General features: G+C 38.4%; 1 protein-coding gene across 17 annotated transcripts in view; it reads right to left on the reverse strand.

Moving 5' to 3' along the window:
• ROS1 (ROS proto-oncogene 1, receptor tyrosine kinase) overlaps positions 1–12,879 on the reverse strand; it is a 138,590-nt gene that overhangs the window by 77,527 nt on the left and 48,184 nt on the right. For 11 of the 17 annotated variants that reach the window (XM_017011172.2, XM_011536051.3, XM_011536053.3 and 8 more), the window contains 3 exons: positions 1,197–1,414; positions 702–862; positions 181–325 (listed from right to left, as the gene is read on the reverse strand). In XM_017011172.2, the coding sequence (XP_016866661.1) occupies positions 181–325; positions 702–862; positions 1,197–1,414 (524 nt within the window). The remainder of the gene's footprint in view (positions 1–180; positions 326–701; positions 863–1,196; positions 1,415–12,879) is intronic. The other 6 variants (XM_017011173.2, NM_002944.3, NM_001378902.1 and 3 more) reach the window with 1 other exon arrangement.

Here is a 12,879-nt window from a genome sequence, read left to right on the forward strand (position 1 = left end):
AAATTATGCATATTTATGTTAATGACGCTATTCTAATCTCCAAAAAGTCATTGAAAGGGTATTGAATCTAAACACATCTATAAAACTGAAAGTTATTTTTAAATATCAACTATCCATTCCAGATCATGAAAAGTGAGATTCTGCTTTTTTAAGAAAAAAGACAGATTTTAACCCCTGTACCTGTTTCAGGTGCTCGAAGTGACAGAGATGTTTTGGGGCCCTTTCCCCAGTAGGTATAAGGAGTGACAGAAAGATTAAATAAGGCATAAGGTTCCAGTCCTTCCACAGTAAATACAGGTAAAGAGTGTTGTTCACTAGCCAAGAACTAAAATATAAACAGAAAACATTATTTTCTCAGGGAGAGAATTATAAAATCTTTCATTCCTTATTATCTAAAATCTCCAAACTTTAGTTCACATGTAAAATCAAAATTTGCAATTTTGGAAGTGCTAATTTTGGCAAGTTCTGTGTTGTGCCACACAGACCAGTTAAAGTGTATCCAGCACAGCAGTTAGCACCAAGCAGTCAGAGACTGGCTGCAAACAAGTCTTCTGGGGAATAATCTTAATGACCAAATGCTATGGGAATGACAAAGAAGATGGGCTTGGCTAAGTCAAGATGATACAGGTCAGTGTGGGCAAGGCTGACACAGATGGTACAGTCTGTTTGGGAAATGAAAGTTACTAGAACCAACACCATACCTTAGAATGAGCACTAAATTCTACACTGTAGAAAACTACACCCCAGTCTACCGCAGGGGGACCATTCCACAGGATTTGAAAACTTGAAGCATTTCCTTCAATCCTAAATGAAGACTCTTGAACAGAATCTGGAATAACCTTAGGGGTAAAGGAAAAGTTCCCTACAGGATGAAACAAAAAAAAGAAATAGGAGAAAAAAATGGGGATTATTGACCAATATAGAAATCATAGAAAATCAATAGCAATTACTAATAATTAGAACTGAAACAAAATTTTTCTTTTCTTTAACATATCCTGAAAAAAATCATCTTTTTCTGACTTTTTCAGGCTGTAAATTTGGGTTAAGATTAAACTCACTGCAAGCAAACCAATTGAAATTACTGAAACCTTACTCCTCTTAAAACTTAATTCTTAAGAAAAAAAAATATCCCAACCTAAACATTTATTTAACTGAAGGTATAGTGGAGTAGGGTAAGCAGGAATGAAATACTGTACCTGGCAGGGGCTTAAGGGATGTCTGAATAATTGTGAACTGATTAAATCTGGCTGGTTCCAAAACAGAGACACTGGTTTTCTGACCTATTTCTTGAGTTGTGATAATCCTAAAGCCATTGATCCAGAACAGCCGACCACTATAGTACATCAGTGCATTCTGGGAAATTTCAGAAGTACTCCAGGCTGCAAATTCTGTGATGGTGGTATCCCCAGTGCTGCTAAAACATAACACCAATTAGTGTGTGTTTCTGGAGTGGTGGAAGGGCTGGTCCATGCAAGTAGTCATGAGAATATATGTTTGTGAGTATCTGTACGCATTTGTGTACATTAAAATAAAGAAAATACTTTCTAACGATTATTGTCTTTTTTTGTTTCATATTAAGTTGGGTTTTTATTTTACATTTTTAAAAGTAGTAGACCTAAAGTAAATTTTCTGGGGGCTTTCCTTGTTTCTTTGAGATGGAGTCTCACTCTGTTGCCCAAGCTGGAGTGCAGTGGCATGATCACAGTTCGCTGCAACCTCTGCCTTCCAGCTTCAAGATACTCTCCTGTTTCACCCTCCCAAGTAGCTGGGATTATATGCACACACCACTAAGCCTGGCTAATTTTTTGTATTTTTAGTTGAGTCAGGGTTTCACATGTTGGCCAGGCTGGTCTTGAACTTCTGACCTCAAGTGATCTGACTGCCTCGGCTTCCCAAAGTGCTGGGATCACAGGCATGAGCACTGTGCTCTCTGGGGGCTTTTCTTATTAATGTGATATTGCAATATCAAGGGTGTTTAGATAGGTTGCAGCTTTTTAAAAAATGCTTGTGATTTTGGTAATACTCTACAACAAAGGCACAACCTGGATTCTCATTACTTCATTAGTTCAGAGATTACATCTTTGGTTTATTCTATGTGCTCCTACAACTCTTGCATTAGCATAAGAAAGACATGAGGCAAGGTTCTTACAGGACCTGGAAATAAGGTAATCATCCAGAAATGAAACCCGTAAAAACCAATGCCTGAAGTATAAATTTGCCATATGTAGAGGTGAAGCAGAAGGGCTTTGGGACCAATCAATGCAATAAATTAGCCTATAGATGTGAAGTTAGCCTACGGATGTGAAGCAGAAGGGCTTTGGGACCAGCCAATGCAATAAATCATGATGGAGACAGCAAGTTAGGATTCAGGTACATGTTCCTTTAAAAAGGAAAGCCTATTGCATTGAGGGATTTGAAAAAAAGACACACCCAAAGAGCAAGAATTTCCAAGCATTTATCCAGAATTGACAGGAATGACAGCTCTTAAATGTGGTAGCCATGAGGACTCCAGTACCTAGGCACACAGAATAACTCTGTTATGAGCAGAGTTCATCACTGCTCTGACACTGGCCTGTGTGGGCACCCTTCTAGTCTATCCAACAACCCTCACTCAGATTCCTTGTTCTTAAAGCAACCACCTCACATCTAACCCAGTTCACGTGATGCCAAGAAGGCATGGCCTGCATGCCCACATGACTATTCTCATTTCTGAATGAGACTAGGCCCCACTGGGAATTAATGAATTTGCAATGTAGGGGATTCTTCAGAAACAGATAGAACTGCATGGAACCCCAGCTCAGCCAATTATTAAATGTTTGACTTCAGGCAAATAATTTAACCTCTCATTGAACCATCTATTAAATGTGGGTATAACACTAATAAATCTGCATCTGGGTGAAGCTGATCTCATTTCATCATAGTTTTCTCAAGAAATAAAAAGATTGATTTAAAAAAATCAATTCCATGACCCCACCACCCCAAAATGAACAGCCAGGCATAACAAGATAAACAGGGAAAATCAATCCCGAAGGCATGGTCTGTTGAATTTTTTCTCCCCATTGAACCACGCCTTCCTCCTACTCTTGGTTAGTCATCTGATTTACCTGCCATTTATTATCCTAGCCTGCTGGGTCCTTCACTTTATACTACTCACAACTGTATGTTATTTCAATGTGTATCAGTTTCTATAGTTTGATCAAAGTGCTCCTTTTCAGACTAGGAAATTCAAGTAAAAAACTTTAAATTGTGTTTAGAGGTTTTTTTCCCCTCAATGGAAGGAAATTTTGCAATTATTTTTGCTTGAAAAATCTGCTTGGTTGTTTCTGAAGTTGTAACAGTTGTTTAGTACTCAAAAAAAGAACTATCTCAGTTATCCTCAGCATTTTGGAGTGATAGTTTGATTTTTTTTTTAGTGATTTCTATAAATCATTTTAAAGCATTCACTTTTCTCTCTTTAGAAAAATATAAATAAAGTTTTGTTTTGAGAATTTCACAGTACCTCAAATAGGTTTACTCTTGTATAAACTAAAGGGAATGGATGTACATAGGAGAGGGAAGAGTAGTTTGAGGGGCAATTCAATTACAATTCTCAAGTTCGGAATATGATGAGTGACAGCAATCAGTTTATCTCATCTCTACTACAGACTAGAGCCGTACTGCTCAGTGCAGCAGCAACTAGCTACATGTGACTACGGAGCCCTTGAAATGTGGTTAGTATGACCGAGGAACCAAAAGTTTAATGTTATTTAGTTTTAATTAACTTGTGGTAAATTTTAAAACTAATATTTGATTCATATATTATGAATCACGTATAATATATTAAAATATTTTTGAGTATTTTAGAACAAGTATGTAAATCAACTATTTTGCCTGTAAATTTTATGAAATCTAAATACAGATCAAATATTTTCTATGAAAACTTAGTTTGCAAATTAAGCTATGCTATAAATGTAAAATACAAACAGAACGTCCAAGAATTAATGTGAAAAAAAGAATATAAAATAACTTTATAATTTTTATTCAGATTGCATGTTGAAGTGACATTTTGATATGTTATCAAAATATTAAAATATACTATTAAAGTTACGTTTACTTGTTTTTACTTTTTTTAATGAGCCAACTAGAATATTTATAATTACATATGTGACTTGCATTATATTTGTATTGGACAAAGCTGATCTAAACTAAAGGGAAGGAATTTTGATTATATGTTAGAAAATACTTTCTCCTTATAAGATGACTCTGGAATCCCAATCTCTATATATAAAACTTCTTTTTTTCCTGATAGGTTTAAAAGGCAAGACTTACTTGGAAGGCAAAAGTACCTGCCCTTTGTTATCTCACTGGGAGCTGCTATGCTCCACTGTACATACATACAAGAAAACATTACTAAACTTGAAATGAGGAAATACATTTTTTAAGAAGGAACTTCCTTCCTCTACTTTATATTGAGTCTGTGGATGCTCGAGGAGCTAGACTCTTAAAGAAACCAGCTCTCCCTGGCTAACATGGTGAAACACCGTCTCTACTAAAAAATACAAAAAATTAGCCGGGCGTGTTGGCGGGCGCCTGTAGTCCCAGCTACTCAGGAGGCTGAGGCAGGAGAATGGCATGAACCCGGGAGGCGGAGCTTGCAGTGAGCCGAGATCGCGCCACTGCACCAGCCTGGGCGACAGAGCGAGACTCCATCTCAAAAAAAAAAAGAAACCAGCTCTCTGGCATATACAGACACAGAGAATGCAGAGAATGGACTATGATCCTTCAGGACACTGTTGCTTTGAACATTGTCTATGTCTCACTTTAGACAGCTTGTTTTGGCAATCAGATTGTCAGTACCTTAAGTTCCTAAGGAAAGGAATAATCAGTTTTCTCTGATTCACAGGTAGGAAACTAGCCAGAGCTGTCTGCCATACTTGATATGAAGTAATTGATCAATCAGATTTGTTGTGTTTATGTGCTTATAGGCATTATGTGTGTGTGTGTATATATATGGATATATACATAAATATCTATCTACATGCATCCACGTGCATACACATATATATACACATCCATATATATGTATATGTACATGCATATACACATATGTATATACATATATGTACATACGGATGTGTATATGGATATGAATGTATGTGGATATATATGGATATATACATATGAATGCATATGGATGTATGTGTATAAATCTATATCTATAGATAGATAAATATACACATACATACACTCCTTTTTCAGGGTCTCCATGACTTGGAGTTTTTCTACTTACCAAAAAAAGGAATTTTTATTCTAAAAATATTGTCAGCATTGTCTTCATAAAATAGTTATTGAACTTTAGGAGACTTTTTTGGAATTTTGATGAAAGATATGAATCCTCAATTGCAGAGCACTGACACATCCTAAAGCCTTCTATGAACCCTTTGGGGACCCAAGAACCTAATACCAGAAATCTTTACCTTTAGAGTATATGATATTTTGCTTTACTTTAATCACTTCCTGACCATTCCTCTGATTAACAATGTGATATTAGGAAAATGTGTGAATATCTCTGGACCTCAGTGTCCTCATCTATGAAATAAAATGATCTCTAAATTCTCCCTCTAAATTTTGGGTTCTAATGACTTTATAACCTATATTTTAATTTTAGATGTGTAACTTCTCCCTTAAAAACTATTAGTTAAATATTTTTAAATTATTGGATATTTAAACAAGTAGAAGTAAAACATATGACACGAAGAACACTAAGAGTAGGATGGTAAAAATTAAACATATATAAAGTTTTAAATCATTTATGAAGGATATATTTGGATATTGACTTGATAAGTTGAAGATGTATCATGTAAAAAAATGCATATTTTAATTTCTAATGCAACCTAAAAAAATAAATAGACATACTTAAAATGTCATTAGAGGAGATAAAATGGAATACTAAAAATTATTTTATTCACCCACAAAAATGGCAAAGAAGTAGAAACAGAGGAACAAGGAGCTGAGACACAAATGGAAGTCACATGTCAAGACAGTAGACTTAAATCCAAACATATTGATAATTATATTAAGTGTAAATGAACCAAATGCCGTAATTAAAATGCAGAAGTTGTTAGATTGTGTAAAAAAGCAACATCCTGTATGTTGTTTACAAGAAAGGCACTTTAAATGTAAAGACTCAGATCAGTTCCCAAAATAGTGAATAGGAGGCAAGGACTAACTTGCAGCTCCCATTCAGATGGACAGAGCGGCATGTGGAGACTCACATCATGAACTTTTGCTCCAAGAACTACCACAGGAACATACCAGGAAAGCCGAGAGAATCCACAGACGCTTTGAAGGAAGAGGCTTGCTGCTGTAGGCTTTGTGAGATAGCCAAAAAACTGAGTGCCCAAAGTGTGATATGGGGAGTGTCCACCCCCGAACACACATCCTCTGTGGAAAACCTGAAGGTCCAGATCATGGGAGAAGGATTTGACCTCACATGCAGCTGAGGCAAATTTACAGCCAAGCAAAATATAGGGGTAGAGGAAGCAGCAGGACGAGCCCTGTGGGCACTTGCAGTCCCCAGGGAAACCATTCCTGACTTTGTCTTGCAGAGATCCTTGGGGAGGGCTGCCAGTGTAACTGGAGAAAGACCATAGGAAGAAGAAAAGTTCCAGCTGAACTTTGTAAAAATTTAAACCGAATACAGTTTCCTGGACAGAACCTGGGAAAGGGGGCAAATAGGGAGTGCAGATATGAACACAGAAACCATGACAGGTGGGAGGTATGAAACCTGAAAGCCCTACTTGCTTTTTCAGCAGGGAGGCTTGTAACCTGCGGCAAGTTCTTAGTCCTACTCACTGGCTGCATGGGAGACATGGTGGGAGTGAGACTGGCCTTTCAGGCTGTGTGGGAGTTGGGCGAGGCCGGTCACTGCTGGCTTTTCCCCACTCCCCTGGTGGCCTGTATAATGCAGTAAAGTCAGCCATAATATCCCTGGGAACATAACTCCATCAGCCTGAGAACTACACCCCCATCCCCTACAGCAGCCACACACAGCAAGCTCCGCCCAAGGAGAGCCTGAGCTCAGACATGCCTAACCCTGCCCCAACTGAGGGTCTTTCTCTACCAATCCTGGTAGCTGAAGACAAAGGACATACTCTCTTGGGGGCTCTATAGCCCCCAAACTTCAGCATCCTTTATGATTAAAACCTCAGCAACACAGGCATAGAAGGGGCATATCTTAATGTAATAAAAGCCATCTATGACAAACGCATGGCCAACATTACACTGAATAGAGAAAAGCTGAAAGCATTCCCTCTGAGAACTGGAACAAGACAAGGATGCCCAGTCACACCAGTCCTGTTCAACATAGTACTGGAAGTCCTAGCCAGAGCAAGCAGACAACAAAAAGAAAGAAAGGGCATCCAAATCAGTAAAGAGGAAGTCATACTATCACTGTTTGCTGATAACATGATCATATATCTAGAAAACCCTAAATACTTCTCCATAAAGCTCCTAATACTGACAAATTAATTCAGTAAACTTTCAGAATACAAAATTAATGTACACAAAACAATAGCACTGTTTCCGGAACTGGTGGGTTCTTTTTCTGACTGACTTCAAGAATGAAACCACAGACCCTCGTGGTGAGCGTTACAGTTCTTAAAGGTGGTGTGTCCAGAGTTTGTTCCTTCTGATGTTCGGATGTGTTTGGAGTTTCTTCCTTCTGGTGGGTTCGTGGTCTCTCTGGCTTCAGGAGTGAAGCTGCAGACCTTCGTGGTGAGTGTTACAGCTCTTAAGGTGGCGCATCTGGAGTCGCTCATTCCTCTCACTGGGTTCGTGGTCTCACTGGCCTCAGGAGTGAAGCTGTAGACCTTCAGGGTAAGTGTTACAGCTCATAAACGCAGTGTGGAGCCAAAAAGTAAGCAGCAGCCACACTTATCACAAAGAGCAAAAGAACAAAGCTTCTACACTGTGGAAAAGGATCCATTCGGGTTGCCACAGCTGGCTTGGGCAGCCTGCTTTTATTCCCTTATCTGGCCCCACCCACATTCTGCTGATTGGCCCATTTTACAGAGAGCTGATTGGTCCATTTTACAGAGAGCTGATTGGTCCGTTTTGATAGGGTGCTGCTTGGTGCGTTTACAATACCTGAGCTAAACACAGAGTGCTGATTGGTGTATTTGCAATCCTTTAGCTAGACATAAAAGTTCTCCAAGTCCCTACCAGATTAGCTAGATACAGAGTGCTGATTGGTGCATCCATGAACCCTGAGCTAGACACAGAGTGCTGATTGGTGCATATACAATCCTCCAGCTAGACATAAAAGTTCTCCAAGTCTCCACCTGACTCAGGAGCCCATCTGGCTTCGCCTAGTGGATCCTGTGCCAGGGCCGTGGGTGGAGCTGCCCGCCAGTCCTACACCATGCGCCTGCACTCCTCAGCCCTTGGGCGGTCAATGGGATCGGGCGCCACGGAGCAGGGGGCGGCACCCATCAGGGAGGCTCGGGCTGCGCGGAAGCCCACCACGGGGGGACTTGGGCATGGCAGGATGCAGGTCCCGAGCCTTGCCCCGCAGGGAGGCGCTGAGGCCCGGCGAGAATTCGAGCATGGCGCGGGCAGGCCAGCAGTGCTGGGGGACCTGGTGCCCCTCTCCACAGCTGCTGGCCTGGATGCTAAGCCCCTCACTGCCCGGGGCTGGTGGCACTGGCCAGCCGCTCTGAGTGCGGGGCCCGCCAAGCCCGCACCCACCCAGAACTCGTGCTGGCCTGCGACCACCACACGTAGCCCTGGTTCCCACCTGCGTCTCTCCCTCCACACCTCCGCACAAGCAGAGGGAGCTGGCTTCAGCCTCAGCCAGCCCAGAGAGGGGCTACCACAGTGCAGCGGCAGCCTGAAGGGCTCCTCAAGCATGGCCAGAGCAGACATCAAGGCCAAAGAGGTGCTGAGAGTGAGCGAGGGCTGCTAGCACGTTGTCACCTCTCAGCACTGCTATATACCAACAGCGACCAAGCTGAGAATCAAATCAATAATTCAACCCCTTTTACAATAGCTGCAAAAATATACTCACAAATGTACCTAAGAAGATAAAAGACTTCTACAAAACTACACAATACTGCTGAAAGAAATCATAGATGATACAAACAAATGGAAACACATCCCATGCTCATGGATGGGTAGAATCACTATTGTGAAAATGACCATACTGCCAAAAGCAATCTACAAATTCAATGTAATTCCCATTGAAATACCAGCATCATTCTTCACAGAACAAGAGAGAACAATCCTAAAATGCATGTGGAACCAAAAAAGAGCCCATATAGCCAAAGCAAGACTAAGCAAAAAGAACAAATCTGGAGGCATCACATTACCTGACTTCAAACTGTACTATAAGGCTATAGTCACCAAAACAGTATGGTACTTGTATAAAAATAGACACACATATCAAAGTAACAAAATAGAGAACCCAGAAATAAAGCCAACTGATCTTCGACAAAGCAAACAAAAACTAAAGTAGGGAAAGGATACCCTATTCAACAAATGGTGCTGGGATAATTGGAAAGCCACATGTAGAAGAATGAAACTGGATCCTCATCTCTTGCCTTATACAAAAATCAACTCAAGATGGATCAAAGACTTAAATCTAAGACCTAAAACCTTAACAATTCTAGAAGATAACATCGAAGAAACCCTTCTAGACATTGGCTTAGGCAAAGACTTCATGACAAAGAACCCAAAATCAAATGCAACAAAAACAAAGATAAATAGATGGAATTTAATTAAACTAAAAAGCTTCTGCACAGCAAAATAATCAGCAGAGTAAACAGACAACCCACAGAGTGGGAGAAAATATTCACAAACTATGTATTTGACAAAGGACTAATATCCAGAAACTACAAGGAACTCACACAAATCAACAAGAAAAAAGCAAACCATCTCAAATAATAGATGTTGGCATGGATGTGGTGAAGAGGGAACACTCTTACACTGCTGATGGGAATGTAAACTAGTACAACCACTATGGAAAACAGTGTGAAAATTCCTTCAAGAACTAAAAGTAGATCTACCATTTGATCCAGCAGTCCCACTATTGGGTATCCACCCAAGGAAAAGAAGTCATTATACAAAAAAGATACATGCACATGCATGTTTATAGTAGCACAATTCATGATTGCAAAAATATGGAACCAGTCCAAATGCCCATCAATTATTGAATAAAGAAAATGTGGTGTATATATAATGGAATACTACTCAGCCATAAAAAAGAACAAAATAATGGCATTCATAGCAACCTGGATGGAATTGGAGACCGTTATTCTAAGTGAAGTAACCAGGAATGGAAAACCAAAAAGTACATTCTCACTCATAAGTGGGAGTTAGGCTGTGAGGATGCAAAGGCATAAGAATGATACAATGGACTTTGGGGATTTGGAGTAAAGGGTGGGAGGAGGGTGAGGGATAAAAGACTACACACTGGGTACAGTGTACACCACTCAGGTGATGGGTTTACCAAAATTTCAGAATTCACCACTAAAGAACTTATCCATGTAACCAAATACCACCTGTTCCCCAAAAACCTATTGAATTAAATAAATTTTTTAAAAAAAGAAAACCTACCTATTGGGTAATATGCTTGTTACCTGGGTAACAATCTGTACCCCAAACCCCCAGGACACACTATCTATAGAACCTACCTGCACATGTACCCCTTAAACTAAAATAAAAAATTTAAAACCAACAATAAAACAATACAATAAATGTAAACAACACAATTTAAAAGTAAATAAATGGAAATAGCTGTACTATGCAAACACTAAGCAAAAGAAAGCTGATGTGGCCATAGTAATATCAGACAAAGGAATCTTTAAGATGAAGAATATTAGCATAGATGAATAGGAGTATTTTATAATGATAAAAAGGCAATATAATTAAGTATATAGATAATCAATATACTAAATATAAAGCACCCAAATACATTAACCAAAAAGAACAATAGGCAAATCAACAATCATAGTTGGAGACATACCAAAATTTGTTGAATACAACTAATATAGACCTTGAAAGAAACTCATAGTTTTAAATGCCAGTGAGTGGAATGATACAAAAACAATGACCTTTCTTTTCAATCTAAAAAGCTAGAAAAAGAACAGAAAATTATGCCTAAAATAAATAGAAAAGGGAAAATAATAAGATTAGAAGTTAATGAAATAAAAAATGGACAATCAGAAAAAAATCAATAATGCCAGAAACAGATTATTTGAAAAGATAAATAAATCTCATAAACTTTTAGCAGGAGTGATCAAGAAAAAAATGTACCAATAGCAGAAGTATAAAAGGATATCACGACAGACCCTATAGACATTAAAATGATATTAAGAGGATATTATAAAATTTGAAAACTCATGCAAAATGACAAATTCTTGAAAGCATGAATTACCAAACTGGCTCAAGAAGAAATAAAAATAAATAGCCTTATATCCTTAAAAGATGCTGAATTTGTAATCAAATAATTTTCCACAAAGAAAACTCCAGGTCCAGATGAATTAGCTTGTGGACTTTATCAAAACTAAAGAAGAATTAACAGCAATTCTATACAAATGCTTTCAGAAAATTGAGGAGAGAATGCTTCCTAAGTCATTTTTGAGACTACTATAACTCTTACTAAAGTATTCTAGAAGAAATCTACTAGGACATATAAATTAACTTAAAAATGTATAAGATACAAAGTCATATACAAAAAGCAATTGTATTTTCCCACACTAGTAATGAACATTTAGAAAATGGAATTTTAAAAAGTAACATATATAAAGCATTAAAAAAATTAGATACCTAGGCATTAACCTAATAAAAGATATGTTAGACATCTACACTAAAAACTATAAAACACTTCTGAGAGAAATCAAAGAAAACCTAAAAAAATGGAGAGATACACCATTTTCATTGATTGGAAGATTCAAAATTTTGAGATATTCATTCTTCCTAAACTGAAAAGAGATTCAAAATTCCAGCAGGATTTATTCTAGAAATTAGTGAGATGATTTTAAAATCTATTTGGAAAGGCAAAAGATCAAGTATAGCCAAAATAAAAATATTGGAAAAGCAAAGCAAAGTAGAAGGACTGAATTTGCCTGTCTTCAAGTTTTTCTCTGAATTTACAGTTATCAAGACAATGTAGTACTGGCAAAAAGAGTAGACAAATATATCAAAGGAACAGAACAGAGAGTCCAGAAATAGACCTACACATACACAGTCAAATTATTATTATTATTATTTTGACAGAGTTTCACTCTTGTTGCCCAGGCTGGAGTGCAATGGCGCGATCTCAGCTCACTGTAACCTCTGCCTCCCCGGTTCAATTGATTCTCATGCCTCAGCCTTCTGAGTAGCTGGGATTACAGGCGCCCATCACCACGCTCAGCTAGTTTTTGTATTTTTAGTAGAGACGGAGTTTCACCACGTTGGTCAGGCTGGTCTCGAACTCCTGACCTTAGGCTATCCACCCATGTCAGCCTCCCAAAGTGCTGGGATTACAGGCGTGAGCCACCACGCCCGGCCCAAATTATTTTCAATAAAGGTCCCAAAGCAACTAAATAAAGAAAGAGAAAATCTCTTCAGCAAATGGCGCTAGAACAACTGGATATCCCTACAGAAAGGAAAAAAAGAAAACTTTAACTCATATCTCACAACATACCCCAAAATAAATTTACGATGAATTATAGATCTAATCATGAAAGCTAAAACGATAAAGCTTCTAGAAAAAATGGAGTATAAAATCTTCACAACTTTGGGATAGGCTAAGATTTCTTGTAGAAAACACAGAAAGCACAGAATATAGAAAATGCATAAATTGGACTTAATCGAAATGAAATTCTTCTCATCAAAGCACACCACCAAGAAAATAAG

Source organism: Homo sapiens, chromosome 6 (assembly GCF_000001405.40).
Source record: "Homo sapiens chromosome 6, GRCh38.p14 Primary Assembly".
NCBI classification, from domain to species: Eukaryota; Metazoa; Chordata; class Mammalia; order Primates; family Hominidae; genus Homo; species Homo sapiens.